Here is a 16,788-nt window from a genome sequence, read left to right on the forward strand (position 1 = left end):
CCTCAGTCTCCTGAGTAGCTGGGACTACAGGGGTGTGCCACAATGCCCAGCTAATTTTTTTTCATTTTCTGTAGTGACGGGGTCCTGCTATGTTGCCCAGGCTGGTCTTGAACTCCTGGCCTCAAGCCATCCTCCCACCTCGGACTCCCAAAGTGCTAGGATTCCAGGAGTGAGCCACCATGCTTGGCCTGCAATTTTCTTTTATAAGTATCATCATATGCAATTTAGTACTCAAATGCCTTCGGATGATGACAATGTCCACAAACTCTACGGAGAGAATGAAATATTAATACAGCATTGCCATCAGAATAGCTAAAATGCAAAAGCTGTGTTACACGTAGAGAGTTGCCAAGTGGTAGACAAATTTGCTTTTTGGTAGGTCACACTTGTTTTATGGTATAGCCTTTTCATGCAACTATACTGAGGCTAAAAAATCATAATTTAAGCAGTAAGCATTTAATTCTATAATGTAAAATAACTTGAAACATAATGTAAATCTTAGAGAAATATTCAAACTGGCTAATATAGAAAAAGAAAGATGAGCAACTGTTCAAAGTGAGTATTGCAATAGGCAGAAAATCACCAGGGAGACCCCATTTACATGCTCAAGTAACACTACACACATGCTCTCCAAAATTCTAGACTTTGGACATGCCAAACAGTCCCAGGCTTTTTTCTTTTTTTCACGTTCTCTCTAAAACCTCTGGGAAAATATATAGTCCTGTTATATATCAAAAGATAATCCCTCCCCCACAAAAAGTGAGGACAGGCCACAAGTGGGTAAAAATTTCTGTGACTCACACATAAGGAATAATTAGTACCCAGAATATGTAAAGAGCCCCTATAAATCATTTTAAAATAGACTATGCAATATTTTTTATGTGGGCCAATACATAAATAGGAAATTGACATTGAACAGGAAACCCAAAGGGCTAGGAGACATGATGAACTTTGTAAGTAATGAGAAAAATTAAAAATCACAATAAGATGCCATTTCACACCCATCAAATTGGCAAAAACTAGAGTTCAGTAACAAGTGCTGGTGAGTATATGGATAGAAAGGAATTCTGGTGCACTGAGGGTAATACTGTGAACTGGCCCAACCACTTGGGAAACAAGTCAACTGCTGATATGAATACACTAAAGACCCTGCCACTCCACTCTAAAGGGTAAACCTGCTTAATGTGGGCTGTATTTTAGCAAACCAATCCCTCCAATAGAGCTATGTCACTAAGAAAGCTGAAATTTCTATCTATTACTCTCTTGCACTTGGAGTCGAATTTTCAATTGATTCTGGAGGGGAAAAGAAGGTGCTGGTTATTGTGCCCCCTGGTGCCCCAACAGAATACTATACAGTAGGGAGAATAAATGAAAGACACATGGATCAATGTGGATAATTCCTAAGAATATAATAAGAGAAAAAGCAATATGCATTTATATAAGGTATAAAAATAAGCAAACCAATACTCTGTACTATTTAAGATATATAAATCCATGTCATAAAATATAAAGACATACACGAATGATTAAAAAAAAATCAGGACAGTGATGATCTCTAGGGCAATCAGGCAGGGCTACCCAGGGGGCTTTAACCATGGCTAGAATGGAATATTTTGTTTCGTAACCTGGGAGGAACATAAATGGACAAATTTTCTGACTTGAATATTTCATATATGCATCATACACACTTACATACCACACATACATCTATAAGAAAATAAGAAGCACAGCTGAAAAAGCCATGAGGGCTGCCTAAAATGTCTTGCCCTGTCACATTCAGGCTTTGTCAGCTGTTTTCCAGAACCTTCCGGAACACAGCCAGTGGGAAGGATTGGCCATGCCTGGAGATAGATACTAAATGTGGTACTGACTTCTACAATTTTATTCTAAACAGGAGGAAAATCTATTAAACCACAGAATCAGGGAGAGTTAGAAAGAATAAAGCAAAACAAACATCCAGGGAGTGGAATTAATATCAGCAAATCACAGAAAGACTTCTAGAGCTTACCTTTGCCAACATGAAAGGTAAATTATTGCTTTTTTTCTTTTTTAATAACAGTCTTTTCGTTAATTATCTCTGAAGGAAGATTCAATAACTGCTCTTGGTAATGCATTTCAACGTCTTATAAATCACTGGAAAGTTTAATTCGGTGGAAATTTTAAGTCAGTATATTATGACTACATATGGTATGAAGACACGGGGAAAGGAAATAGTCTACATTATTTCCTGATCCTCTAGTGTAAATCAGACACTCTGAATCATAACCATCATAACAGAAGATCTGTGTTGCCTCATTTAAAAGCATATATATTTGTAAACTTTCACATATTTTATTAAACTGCTAATTTTTTTAAAACTTCTTACCCCTACTCTTCCCAGAAGAGAGGTATTCAAATGATAAACACTTCTTGGTGTGATGCATAAGCAGGACTCAAAATCACTTTTTTATGTCTTGTATCGCCAGTGGAGAGAAACAAATGATGACTATGTTAACATTACATATCACTGCCATTTAGATTAGATATTTGGCCCTTATGATCATTTTACTGCTTGTAACCTAAGGATAAAAAAGATGGTACAAAAGATAGGTGCTCACTAATTGAAATAATAGACATAATCTAGGAAAGTTACTCTAAAATGAAAGCCTATCACAATTTCATCTGCATTCATCTGTAAAATGGCCCAAGTGGACTCATCCGTTTCTTGGGCCCAGCACGCACCAAGAAAATATCTGTTGAACTGAATTTAACTGACAATGGGAAAGAAACATGAAAAGAAGCTGGGGACCCCAAGCCAGGATACAGCAACCCACTAGCATGACTTTGTACACTGGGAATGCCAGAAAACCTACATATCTTGAGAAATCTAAGGTCTTTCTTTGACTCTTCATTTCCCTGTAAGGTACAGGGACATAAATATATAATACAATATAAATACACAACATGGTGTGAAATATGATATGACATAATGGAATGTAACACAATACAGAATATAATATGGGTTGAGTTATCCTTAATCCAGAATCTGAAATCTGAAAGCTCCAAAATCTGAAACTTTTTGATATTATACATGATATTCAAAGACAATGTTCATTGGAATGTATAAGATTTCAAATTTTCAGATTGGGCATGCTCAACCAGTAAGTATAATGCAAATATTACAAAATCTAAAAAAAAAAATCCAAAATCCAAAACACTTCTGGTCTCATGCATTTCCGATAAGGGCTACTCACCGTCATATAAAAGAAAGAGGTAGCACCCATGACTAACACAGCATCTTGCCCTGCCTACCTCTCAAATTTTGCTCAGACCTTGCTGCCTCTTGTTCGCTGCAACCCAGCCACTCTGGTTTTCTTTTAGTTTCTCAGTCCCTCTAGGCTTATACCCATCTCAGACCCTTTGCAACTGCTTTTCCTCTTTCTGGATGGCTCTTCGTCATTTAGGTCTCAGTTCAAATGTCAGCCCTCAAAAACATCTTCCCTAACTTCCCAATTTTAAGCAACCCCTTCCCCATTCAAACGTTTTCTATAATTTATTCTGTTTTACTTTTCTTGCAGTGTTTTATCTCTATCTGAAATTAACTTGCTTACTCAGTTATTATCTGTCTTCTCCCAAGGAAACTGTGAACTCCCTGACAGCAGGGACCTTGTTTGCTGTGTTGGTGGCTCTATTCTCAGCATCCAGAATGGCCCCTGGTGTACAGAAGGTGCTCCAATAACCACTTTCCAGTAGATTAATAAAAATATGCCAGCCCAATTTAAAATCCTTAATCTCAAGGCTTCCAAGAATATAACAAATGTGTTCCCTATTTTATCTAATTCATATTGGGTTTACTTAAAAATGGGGGAGGGCAGAGGAAAATAGAATACTTAGAATTAGATTATTAACACTTAAGATTAGATATTAGAGAGAGTTGATACCACTCAGAACACCACTGAACTAAATGCTGTTATTTAATTTACGTATTTTAATCATACTGATCTAAGCCATTCAAGACTAAAAATAAATCCTTTCACTATTTTTACTCTAGGCACTAATTTAATTATATTCTGTTACTAAAGCTATTACATTATTTTCTATCCAAATTACCTTGTACTTTTCTAGCAATGATATTAGCTATCTCAATACGTCACAGGTATTCTTGTAGTATAAGAGATAGCAAGAGGTGAAACACAATGTGAACATATTACTGAATAAAATGCTTCTAAAATGTGGTTCCTTCTCTCAGCCAGAAAAAGGAGACACAACACATTAGGTCAGTCATTAGGAGGAAACAGCCCCATGAACAATGCCGCATCTGCGTTACACATGAATCTGGCTCTCCTACATGTCTAGTAGAATTTGAATAACTGTGTTTTACTGAATACACATTTAAAACAGAAAGCTACCCCTTACAAAACAAATTCAAGAAGCGTTCAAACACAATTTTGCTGGCACAGTTTCAGAATCTAATTATAGTGAGATATTTTGTCTCAGATTTAAACCTCCTCATTTTTCAAGCTAACCTGTTGTAACTAATAGGTTTTAAAATAATGAACAACCACAGAACTATAAAAAATATTCCACTTTCATAAAGCCAAAGATCATTCTGTCTGATATGGTTTCATTTTGAAAACTTCACGCATTTGAAAAAAATTATATACTCCAGGAAGAAATGGTCATTTTCAGTGAAAGAAAATGTTACTGGGATACAGCTTTAGCACAAAAGTGAAATATACACTGCTAAGCAAAGGCTGTTTTGCTATTTGACGAATAGAGAACTTGTTTCCTTATAATGGGTAAAAGAGAAGGGGGGGGGCAATTCTGGGTGTTTGCAAATGAAGAACACAAGAATGCAAAGTTTTAAAAATAGATCTGAGAAAATATTAGCACTTTAAATCAATGTTAATTTTGGACTACGTTCAAGAAACTACAAGAGATAAAACAGAACTATGGTATCAGGGCATGTGAATAACCACAATTTATTATCTACCTTTAAGATCACTTCTTAGAAGTGCAGAACTTTGAAATGCATTAAAACTTTGGTTAAAGAAGCATCTCAAACCACATCTATCATATGTACACAATGGAACAAAAACTCAGGCGCTAATGTGGCAAAAGGCATGGCATCAGATGGATTCCTTTTTTTTATATATTTATACCCATATTTTATTAATTCTGTTCCTCTAGAGAACCCTAACACAAACATATCTGTTTTTTTAATTATTATTATACTTTAAGTTCTAGGTATATGTGCACAACATGCAGGTTTGTTACATAGGTATACATGTGCCATGTTGGTTTGCTGCACCCATCAACTCGTCATTTACATTAGGTATTTATCCTAATGCTATCCCTCCCCCAGCACCCTACCCCCTGACCGGCCCTGGTGTGTGATGTTCCCCACCCTCTGTCCATGTGTTCTCATTGTTCAACTCCCATCTATGATTGAGAACATGCAGTGTTTGGTTTTCTGTCCTTGTGAGTTTGCTTAGAATGATGGTTTCCAGCTTCATCCATGTCCCTGCAAAGGACATGAACTCATCCTTTTTTATGGCTGCACAGGATTCCATGGTGTATATGTGCCATATTTTCTTAATCTAGTCTATCATTGATGGACATATGGGTTAGTTCCAAGTCTTTACTATTGTGAATAGTGCCACAATAAACATACGTGTGCATGTGTTTTTATCGTAGAATGATTTATAATCGTTTGGGTATATATCCAGTAATGGGATGGCTGGGTCAAATGGTATTTCTAGTTCTAGATCCTTGAGGAATCGCCACACTGTCTTCCACAATGGTTGAACTAATTTACACTCCCACCAACAGTGTAAAATTGCTCCTATTTCTCCATGTCCTCTCCAGCATCTGTTGTTTCCTGACTTTTTAATGATCGCCATTCTAACTGGAGTGAGATGCTATCTCATGGTGGTTTTGATTTGCATTTCTCTGACGACCAGTGATGATGAGCATTTTTGCATATGTCCGTTGGCTGCATAAATATCTTCTTTTGAGAAGTGTCTGTTCATATCCTTTGCCCACTTTTTGATGGGGTTGTTGTTTTCTTGTAAATTTCTTTAAGTTCTTTGTAGATTCTGGATATTAGCCCTTTGTCAGATGGGTAGATTGCAAAAATTTTCTCCCAGATGGGATCCTTTGTTGGGGGTGGTCACCTAGACCACCCCTCAGGTTTTGAGATTTATTAGTTTTTTCTATGCTCTTTGCTCAAAGTAAGTCACAAGTCAGCTTTGATTTGGGGAGTGAAGAAATAAATTCTTCCTCCTGCTGGGAAGAGAGCCAAGTCACTTTACACAGGTGCATGCACAGGGATGGAAGGAGCTGTGACCATCTCTGCAAACAATCTACCACTGTATCCTATGAGTACATGTGGTCCCTTTCTAGTGAAATGGGTCTGAATAATAAGGCTTGGAGGATTCACAGGAGATCTCTTAAGTCAATGAAGTCAATATGTGAGATATTTACTATAGTTACCATAAAAATTCCTCTCCTTACCCATGCACACGAAGCATGAAGACTTGTACTTTCTAGGTATAGAACAATGTTCCACATGTTAGGGAGAGATCTAGACCCAGTCCTAACCACCACTAAGAGAGAGACAGATCACATTGATGAAGAGTTGTACAGCAATGCTAGTCAGGTGGCACGTGCTTAGTGCAAAATGACAGGTATAGAGCCTACTGTCACAAGCATTGAAAAGAAGGGATACTCACTGAGGAATGAGCTGATCAAAACACATCTTTCAGGAGAGGACCCAGTCTCATGCTGAGGAAGGGACAGGGCTCACGGACCAGGGAACAGGGGAGAGGCCATCTCAAGAGTTATCATTTGCATAAGGGGATGTAGAAAATGCGCACAAAGTATTTAGGTAACTAGTTCATCTGGAGAGAAGTAACAGGAAAAAGAGCCTAAAAGAAGAGGAGGAGTCAGAGAGTAGCCAGCCTTGAGGACCGAGTTATGGAGTTTGGCCTTTAGCCTGTACATTTAGTTGGGAGGCCTAGACACTAAGTGATGAGAAGAGGGCTGACAGCAGAAAGACACTGAATGAGGAAAGGGACTTGGTAATTGAATGGATTTAGAGCAAAGACGGAAAAGGAAAAATCAATGACTGCAAGAATGAAACAGAAAATCATGATATCACTGACGAAACAGAAAGAACAACAAGGGATGAGGATGATGACTTTCACTTTAAATATGGTGAACTCAAGGTGACAACAAGCAATGTGAAACATTTTCAGCTATTTAAAGTGTGGGACTTTGGGAACATTAACCTCTCCAAGCTCAGTTTTCTTATCTGTAAAATAGAAATAGTAATACTGTACATCTCATAAGGTTATCATGAGGATTACATGAAATACTGACAATGCCTGGCACTCATTAGAGCACTAAAATAAATAAATAAATAAATAAATAAATAAATAAATAAATAAATAAATTAAAGGTAACTTTCCCCATCATCATCATCCAGTTTATCATTTGACAAATAGCCCAATAACTCTTTTCTGTCACATCAATTCATGATTACCTGATATATCTGTTAATCAGGTTTGGTTTTGTTTCAATACAACTGAGATAATTTAAAATATCCTATTCTAATGGCAGTCCTTGTAAATTTCCTATAGCATTTGGGTTTGGGCGATTTATAGCTAGAAAATGGCTTCAATTCTATGACAAATTCATTACTGCAACTCATTGAAACTAGTATGTCAGCTGACGCATCTAAATTAGAAGTGAACATTTGATGTCTACGGTTTTTCCTAAGAAATATAACCTAGTAGGTTTTAAAATGTGGTTTTTTACATTGAAAAATTGAAGACAGAAAATTGTGTGTGATTTAATGATAATTTGCAACATGCTAAAAATCCCTTTGAGATGAAAGATTTTGTTTTGTTTTGTTTGGGGAATATGAAAATAAGATTAAAGAGTATAACATTTTATGGTAATGTTGTAGCCAGGAGGGGAACATTAGCAATGGGAAAACTGAGGGAAGGAAAATCCCAAGTCAGTTTGAGAATTTAACATTATTAGTATACTGGACTGTGAAACAAGTATTTATCATGCACATAGTAGGTGCTTAATGAACTTTTGTGAAATAATGTTAAATGAAATTAATGAAACCAAATTATTTTTTCTTCTCTATTTCTTACCATTAGATCACTGTACTATTAATTATAATATTCTTTAAAGAGTGAGTAAACAAAAGGTTTAGAAAGAGAGAATCAAGGTATTTTAAAGCTAGAAGTCCTTCAGAAGTAGAAACTGAAGTCCAGGGAGGTTAACAGACATCAGTTTCCCTACATCAGTTTCCCATGACAGATGCCTACATCAGTTTCCCACGACTATGACATTCAAACTTGGAAGAACTGACCAACAGCCCCTGCACATCCTACCACCCCATGATGGAGAAGAAAGAGTTACAGAGAAACTCAAGCCTGTCAATTCTGTGATTTGTTTGAGGGTCTAACAAAAGGTTGAGATGAGCAGGTGGATTCTGAGAAATGTAGACTTCAATTATTTAAGTCATAAATGTTTCCTATTATGATGATGTTTAAACAGTTCATGACAGTAAAAAATACAGATGTTTTTGGCCATTAACAGAGTCACATTTTACAGTATTGCAGTATGAGGTTTTTGATATTTTTATCAAAAGATTGTATGACCAAATTGCCAGAAATCAGGCATTTTATAAAAAGAATGTACAATTCAGCTAATGTGTTTTCATATATCCCCAACCTTAGGGCTATGAAAAGGGTTATGGTCATAGATTATATAGCTCTATTTTTTACTATGAAAATTTATATGCTGTCTAGATCTTTATTCTATTGAAACTGAACTGGAAAGGCCTTTAAATAAAATGGTTCCTTCAAAATTTACAGACTGTAATAGATCTGATTGATAAAGAGATTCAAAATCCCTTTTTAAGGGTACACCTGTGGGGAGAGAGAAAAAGGAAAGGCAAAGATCCTCCTTTACACGGTGGCTGTATCTATTTGTGTTTCCAATGTGGAGTCAGACTGTCTGGTCCAAGCCAAATTCCAGCAGTTAATGGGATCTTAGCTAAGTCACTCAGCTGCTTTGTACCTGTTGCCTCGTCAGTAAAATGGGAACAATCACAGTAGCCACCTCATGGGGTCGTTGTGCGGATCAAATGAGTTAAGGCAAGTAAAGCATTTAGAACAGGGCTTGGCACACAGTGAGCACTAGATATCAGCTAGCTATTTTTATCACTCCCTCACATCTATTTACTCACTGGAATAGCCCCCCAGCTGGGCAGGATGTGATACCACTGTCATCTCTCAATTATTCACAGTGAAGAGGAGGGGTGGACCTTTCAAGATTAATACCCATTTGTCTGTTGTCAAATATTCCTGAAGTCAAAAACCTTTTATGTTCTCCCACTTTCCCTAGGGTTAAGTCTAGACACCATAATAACAACATGAATAAGCAGTGAGAGCTAGTTATGGGCCAGGCACAGTGTTTGACAGGCATTCGCTCGCTTAATCCTCCAAACAACTCTGGTGTAAGTTCTCTTAATACCTGCAGTTTATAAATGAAGAAACTAAGGCACAGAGAAGTTAAGTAACTTGCCCTGGAAATCCAAACTCCGAAATGCTCCAAAATCCGAAACTTTCTGAGTACCAATATTACACCACGAGTGGAAAATTCCATACATAAGTATTTAAGACAAACTTCTTATGCACAAAACTATGAAAAATATTGTATAAAATTACCTTCAGGCTTTGTGTATAAGGTATATATGAAACTTAAATGAATTTTGTGTTTAGACTTGGGTCCCATTCTTATGTTATCTCATTATGATATGCAAATATTCCAAAATCTGAAAAAATAAAAAAATCTGAAACATTTCTGGTCCCAAGCACTTTGGATAAGAGATACTCAACCTGTAGCTGGTTCTCCTCACCTTACCTCAATCCATCTTATCGAAGGTATTGTTCTATGTAGGTATACAATGGAGATCAATTGTGAAGTATCTAGGATACTCAACTGCAAGTGGGAAAAGAGAGGGATTCCCTCAGCGGCAGGTTTGTTCTAGACTGGCTGAGCAGGAAGAGCCAACGTGTGAATGGCAATGAATTTCAGGGGTCAAAGGAGATCACTGAACTCAGGCTAGATCTAAGCTGGCACCAAAATCCCAGGGGAGCCAAGATAGTAGGCAAAACAACAGACTCTCTGGGCAATGGTAAAGCCTGGATCCAGTTGGTGCTCCAGATGACACATTTAGTGTAGAGTAAGAGCCAGCCCAGAGCTAGGGAAAAGACACAGTCCTGGCCTTTAAGACAGGAAGCTAGAGAAAGGGAGCTGATGTTTGAGATGAACCCTCATGCTAATCAGAAAAATGCATGCTGGGCTGGACAAACACTGTGGAGTTAAAGAGAAGGCTGAGTTGGGAAAACGGTCCCTAGGATCAGCCCAAATAGAGGCTATTCTTGCCACATTTTAATCCATTCTCCACACTACACTAGGAGAGATCATGTAAGTCTGATCACATCGGCTGGGCATGATGACTCACGCCTGTAATCCCAGCACTTTGGGAGGCCAAGGTGGGCGGATCACCTATGGCGAGGAGTTTGAGACCAGCCTGGCCAATGTGGCAAAACCTCGTCTCTACTAAAAATACAAAAAATTAGCTGGGAGTGGTGGCATGCACCTGTAATCACAGCTACTTGGGAGGCTGAGGCAGGGAGAATAGCTTGAAGCCGGGGGGGCGGACGTTGCAGTGAGCTGAGATCGCGCCATTGCACTTCAGCCTGGGCGACAGGGCAAGACTCTGTCTCAAAAAACAAAACAAAACAAAAAATGTCTGATCACCTCACTTCCCTACATTTCGATGGCTTCCCGGTATCTCAGGATAAAGTCTGAACTCTTACAAGACCCTCATCACCTGGCACTGCCTATCTCTCCAGTCTCATCACTCTGCATTCATCTCTCGTTCCACCCACCCACTGAAAAAAATAGGTGTATTTGATAGTAGGCTAACTATGCGTAACAACTCTGTTATTCATGCTCTCCCGCTGACCTCTGCAGATGCACTCTGTCTAGAATATGCCCTCCCTCCTTCCCTGGCTAAGGCGAAGTCAGGCAAATGGAGACCATCCTCCAGGTCTCACGCCGGCTATCACTTCTCTGATGTCAGCCTTGGTGCCCCCTCCCCAGTCTGCAGCAAGCGTTCTTCTTCTCCATAGTACTTTGTAGTCATCTTTCAGGATTAACCATCTTGGATTCTAACCACCTACATCCTCAACTAGACTCTAAGCTCCTAAAGGGCAGAGCAGTTTCTATCTTGTTCATTTTCATACAATCCCAGTATCTGCAATGCAGAAGATTCTAACAAATATGTGTTTCCAAAACAAAGAAAGATATAAGCCTGAGAATAAAAGAGCACAGGGAAAGATCTCTCTTACAGTGATTAGGGGACAAAGAGAAGGCAGGAGTGCATTTTGGCCACGTTAAGTGTGAGGTGAAGGCCACACATACAATCAGGGGTCTTGAGAGGATTTAAAATGTCTAGTGACCGGGTGCAGTGGCTCACGCCTGTAATCCCAGCACTTTGGGAGGCTGAGGCAGGCGGATCACTTAAGGCCAGGAGTTCGAGACCAGCCTGGCCAACATGGTGAAACCCTATCTCTACTAAAAATACAAAAATTTGCTGGGTGTGATGGCGGGCACCTGTAATCCTAGCTACTCGAGAGGTTGAGGCATGAGAATCACTCGAACCAGGAGGCGGAGACTGCAGTGAGCAGAGACTGTGTCACTGCACTCCAGCCTGGGCAACAGAATGAGAATCTGTCTCAAATACATACATACATACATACATACATACATACATACATACATACATACATAAAAATGTCTAGAGAAGGTCTAAGTTTCGTCACTGAATGTTTACTTACAAAAAAATGGGTGTCTTAGGGTACTCATGTCACTTGGAGTGTTGCCAGCTTCACTCGGAAGACAGGAGAGTCGGACGGGTTTTTATATTGTGGGAAGAAGCAGGAAGAATGGCAGAGGAGGGAGAACGAAAAGATTCAGAAAAGTTAAGCTACTTCTATCTCTTTAGAATTAACATGAGCCTAATGATTGGAGGACAGGGTAAAAAAACAAAGAGCTAAATAAAGAGAACTGGAGACAATGTAGTATAATATTCGGATGTACAAAGTACAAACCATAAAGTCTATTTTGTTTTAATAATTAACAAAGGTGCACCTAGTACACACACTATGGATCAGGCTTGGAGAAAACAGACAAATGAATCCAAGACTACTCATTTTGTGAGAGCTTAAAGCAAACAACTTTTAGCAGTATTTTAAAGCAAGCTAGTAAAATAAATAGAAGTGAAGTCCAAGGGATTTAAACATGAAAATTTGGGGAAAAAAGAACTTCGCAAAGCAAAACAGACAAAATACAAGGCTAACCAAACAAAGGCTAAATCAAATAAATAGGCATTGCCGTGTGCCCTGGAGAACTGCCAAGGAGAGTGAATTTCAACAAAGAATGCTTCTGCCACCAGTTAGGAAAACTTCAATTCCAGAAAGGCTGAAGGAATGCTGCAGGCACTGCCGAGTGACAAGGGGGGTTTGGGGGTGGAGAGGCAGTAGGTCAGACGTTATTTCAGACTACGCAGACAAACACGAGAACCTTCCTCAAGACAAGTAAAGGCAGCCCACTCCCTCCCAACGTGCTCCGCACACAGCTCCTTGTAAGAAACAAATCCAGGTCAAAGATGAGAAATTTGCATCTTCAAGGACTGCCTGTAGCAGCCTTCTCTTCTCAATTTGCAGATAAAAAGACCCCTGTAAATACTTCTCAGCCACCATCCTAGTATCCACAGTCTTGAGATGAAACAAGTCCATGTAGCCCAAGCACAACAAAGCACCAGCAATCATTGTGTGAGCCTGGATGCTGGGAACAGAGTCCTGCGGCTTTGGGGCTAGAATTGCTGTAGATCAACCAAGTATTATTCTCTAGGTCAGAGCACAGTTCTCCATTCAGTTGTGGCCTGTAGTAGTCATGGCAATAGAAACCACCACTGCCACGGCAGCAGTCCCCACTGACAGAGCACGTGTCCTGTGCCAGGCACAGGGCTGAGCAATTTGCATGAATTATCCCTGTTAAGCCTCCTAACAACCTGTCATTATCTTAATTTTATAGCTGTTCCCTCTACAGATGGGGAAACTAAGGCAAGCTGAGATACTTTTCAAAGGTCTCACAGCTAATAAGCAATGCAGCAGGGATTTAGATCCAGAGAATTGTTCTAGAACACGCTTTCTTAGCCAACAGAATGGCCAGAAGTCCACAAAAGAAGGCAGTGGCTAATCAACAAGCATTTATTCATTGTTGGTATGCTATAGACTATGAACTATGTGGGTTAAAACTGAGGTAAAATGGTTTCATTGAAAAAAGAAAAAACTAGAATTCCTTTTACTCCCACTTAAAAAAAAAATCCTGAACTTTATTGGCCTTTAAAGAGAAAAAGGATCTCTATTCTAACGTCTAGCATGTCTATCCAGCAAATATCTAGGTTGTTCAAACCGTTAAGGAGACTAACAAATCAAAACAGGAGTTGATGATACATAGCTCAGGGGCTTTTTTTTTCTTTTTTGATTGGCATTACCCAGGCTGATTTAGATCTAAACACTGGGGGACCCTCAGGATCTGAAGTTCCTTAAGGTTTCCTGGGCTTCCTGGGCTTAGTTAGCATTGTTTTTCCTTCAAATTTCTATACTGCTCTATTGAAATATCTGTACATTAATATATGCTTTTTTTACATGACCTATTTTTCCAGTGGGACTGAGGATGAAAATTACAAATGCATATTTAAAGCCATAGGAATATTTAAATTCTCCCTGTTTTTGTCATACGTTTTAGTACTTTCTATGTGCGACGAAAGATAAAAACTTGTGTGCATGATTAATTGTAATGATGAAAGAATGCTAGGCAGTTGCTTAAGAAACGGGAACAACAAAGGAATAAACTACTGCAGGCATCACCAGGACTGGAATGACACTGCTCTGTGTACTCGATTTCCATGGCAACTAGCAATGGGAAGATGAATGTTTCATAGTCACTCTGCTCTGCAGTACACGTCTATAAATCAAACTTGCATAAAGAGCACAAGATTTCTGCTGTGGGCTGTACTCAGAGCTGGTTTATTTTCCTGTTACTGTATAATTATGGAAAAGAAGCACAAAACAATGAGGTCATTTTTAGTGGGGAACAAACTCAGAAATTACTAATACACCTGCGGCATATGATGCCATTCATCTAGCAAGAAACGAGAAGCAGGCAAGGCAGGCGTGAATGAAAACGCTGCCTGCTTCTGTGGGGAACTCACTGGCTCTGGCTGAGAACTGCACATGACAGGCCTGGTGTGCCCTGCCTCCCCTCAGCTCAGCTCTGAGATGGAAGTAGGAGCACCTTAATTAACTGCCGAAGGTACGGCCAAAGTTTTCATTTTGGTAACAGGGCGGACATGATACTCCATATTTAGCATGAAAGTTTATTGAGATGGGACAAGTATATATTTATCTACTGAAAATGGCTCATTGTATAGGAGTTAGGATGGAAAAATAATGTCTTGGCATGGAGACCTGAGTTTTGATCCAGGTCTATGTAACCTTGGGTGAGTCACATACGTTTGTTTGACTTCCATTTTCTTAGCTAGAAAATAAGGGAGATGGCATATGTGATTCCTAAAGTCCCAGCCACCATCCAGTTCTATGATTCCGTAATCTCTAAATCTTAAGGGTCTGAATCTTTCAATCGAATCTAATCAAAGATGTTAGTTGTGCTATTCCTAAAAAATATATATACCTTATACAGTTGTATTTTAAAATTCTATACTGGGCTAAAGCTCCTAATTAACAGTGTTTTATGACTTTACCAACCACGCTGAAGGCTTCTTCTGATTTGCTCATTCTTCCAAACATGATGCTATCAAAAGCTTAATACAACTATCAGAGTTTTTCAAAGTTAAAATTTTTTTTACAGTCTTATAACTTTGTAAAATAATATTTTAAAAAATATTTAAATTTATCTTTCTTGCTCTTTCATAGATCAGGGCTGCTTATCAATTCCTGCCAAGCAGAAAGCATCCTGCTCCTTGAGTCTGCAGCTCTCAGAAGCATCTTCAGGCTCTCTGGGAATTCATCTTTGTATGCCGGAGACCCAGCAATAATAATGTTGAGTAAAAGTTTGTGGAATAAATGGATGAATGAACTGTTGGGGACACTGTTGCTACACCTGTCAGCAACCCTGTGCTCCCTTCTCCAATCTTAAACATTTAGGCAGATTCAGATCAACATGGAAACATCCCAGGGTAGACGGGCAAATATCTGAACACCACATATAGCTAACAATATGAGTATCTCTTTTGTGAGTTCTTTACAAAATCCTTGTGGAACTTTACAACCTGGAAACATCTTCTCATTAACGCAGCATGAGGCATCATCACACCCAAGGAGGGACTCCGGTCCTAAGGCCCTGGCTAAGAGCATGGGATGTGGTGGAGGCTCAAAAAGAACTGAGTCTGTGCTTAAACTAGAAAAGGACAGGGTGAGGAGCACTTAATCAGCACATCCGTTATCTCAGGTGATGTTTACTCCAACTCTGAGGGGAAGATGTTATTATCTCCATTTTACAAACTGGAAAAACTGAGCAGTAAAAAATCTGCATAAGTAATTAAAAGACAGTTATGAAAGGCTGGGTACAGTGGCTCACGCCTGTAATCCCAGCACTTTGGGAGGATGAAGCAGGCGGATCACTTGAGGCCAGGAGTTGGAGACTAGCCTGGCCAACATGGTGAAACCCCGTCTCTACTAAAAATACAAAAATTACCCGGGCATGGTGGTGCACACCTGTAGTCCCAGCTACTTGGGAAGCTTAGGTATGAGAATCGCTTGAATCTGGGAGGTGGAGGTTGCAGTGAGCCAAGATCGCACCACTGCACTCCAGCCTGGGCAACAGAGTGAGACCTTGGTCTCGAAAAGAAAAAAAAAAAAGAGAGAGACAGTTATGAAATATGTAGGGAAATTCAAAACCTGATCTCTCTGACTCCAAAGGCTGGGTTCTTTTGACTGTATCTCAGGACACATTCAAGCAACAGGCTACTGCTCCATTTGGACTTTTTCAGGGCTAAACAGTAAAGGGTTAAACAAACCTAGCCGCCCCCGCCCACACACACACAAAAAAGCAATGTTCCTGCTGTCACAGGAATATATTAATGGTTAAAAAAAAACACATAGTAATAATAACGCAAGTCAATATTTTTAAAGACCTAAATTCGACAATAAATATAGCCAGGAACATCACTCTTCTTCTCTGTACACATTATTATCATTTGCTCCTCCACTCTCCAGGCAAGCACACTAAAGGCTATTTCCAGGATGGAGTCAGATGTTACACAACTTTGCAATTTCCAATATGTGAATATTAACATAGACCAATGACATTATTACAGAAGCTTACTAGAAATATATTCTGCTGGTCACCAGAGGGATTAGCTTTGCTTCCTAACCTTAGAAAATGCGATAATTTGGGCATATGTTTTCAGTACAAATTTTTCAAAAACTACGAAAAATAACGCTTATTAAGAAAGGCTCCTGGTTAACCTTCTGTTCTTTCAATCAGTTTCTTAGCAGAGTTTTTGGCACCACCAACTGGTGAAAGAGGTGTACTGCAAAGGTGCTCGGCTCTCAATCTGTTTGGTTCATTAAGAGAGGATCATGCATTTATTTCATATTTAATTTACGGTGAATCAATTTATTTTAG

General features: G+C 39.1%; 1 protein-coding gene and 1 long non-coding RNA gene across 4 annotated transcripts in view, besides 3 other annotated features; one reads left to right on the top strand and one right to left on the bottom strand.

Moving 5' to 3' along the window:
- Positions 1–16,788, bottom strand: part of EFCAB11 (EF-hand calcium binding domain 11) — a 160,109-nt gene that overhangs the window by 104,116 nt on the left and 39,205 nt on the right. The gene's annotated exons all lie outside the window — the stretch shown is intronic.
- Positions 12,361–12,978: an enhancer, noted in NCBI's record as "NANOG-H3K27ac-H3K4me1 hESC enhancer chr14:90377489-90378106 (GRCh37/hg19 assembly coordinates)". NCBI's record gives its function as "activates a minimal SCP1, AML or CMV promoter by ChIP-STARR-seq in naive H9 embryonic stem cells {active_cell/tissue: H9 hESC(naive)}" and the evidence as "EXISTENCE:reporter gene assay evidence [ECO:0000049][PMID:30033119]".
- Positions 12,979–13,594: an enhancer, noted in NCBI's record as "NANOG-H3K27ac-H3K4me1 hESC enhancer chr14:90378107-90378722 (GRCh37/hg19 assembly coordinates)". NCBI's record gives its function as "activates a minimal SCP1, AML or CMV promoter by ChIP-STARR-seq in naive H9 embryonic stem cells {active_cell/tissue: H9 hESC(naive)}" and the evidence as "EXISTENCE:reporter gene assay evidence [ECO:0000049][PMID:30033119]".
- Positions 13,861–14,155: a silencer, noted in NCBI's record as "tiled region #15055; HepG2 Repressive non-DNase unmatched - State 6:EnhF, and K562 Repressive non-DNase unmatched - State 24:Quies". NCBI's record gives its function as "represses a minimal TATA promoter and a strong SV40 promoter by Sharpr-MPRA in HepG2 cells, with weaker repression in K562 cells {active_cell/tissue: HepG2 | K562}" and the evidence as "EXISTENCE:reporter gene assay evidence [ECO:0000049][PMID:27701403]".
- Positions 14,352–15,237, top strand: LOC124903358 (uncharacterized). The gene is made up of 2 exons (XR_007064300.1): positions 14,352–14,454; positions 15,075–15,237. It is a non-coding gene; the product is annotated as an uncharacterized LOC124903358 (long non-coding RNA).

This window comes from Homo sapiens, chromosome 14 (genome assembly GCF_000001405.40).
Source record: "Homo sapiens chromosome 14, GRCh38.p14 Primary Assembly".
NCBI lineage: Eukaryota > Metazoa > Chordata > Mammalia > Primates > Hominidae > Homo > Homo sapiens.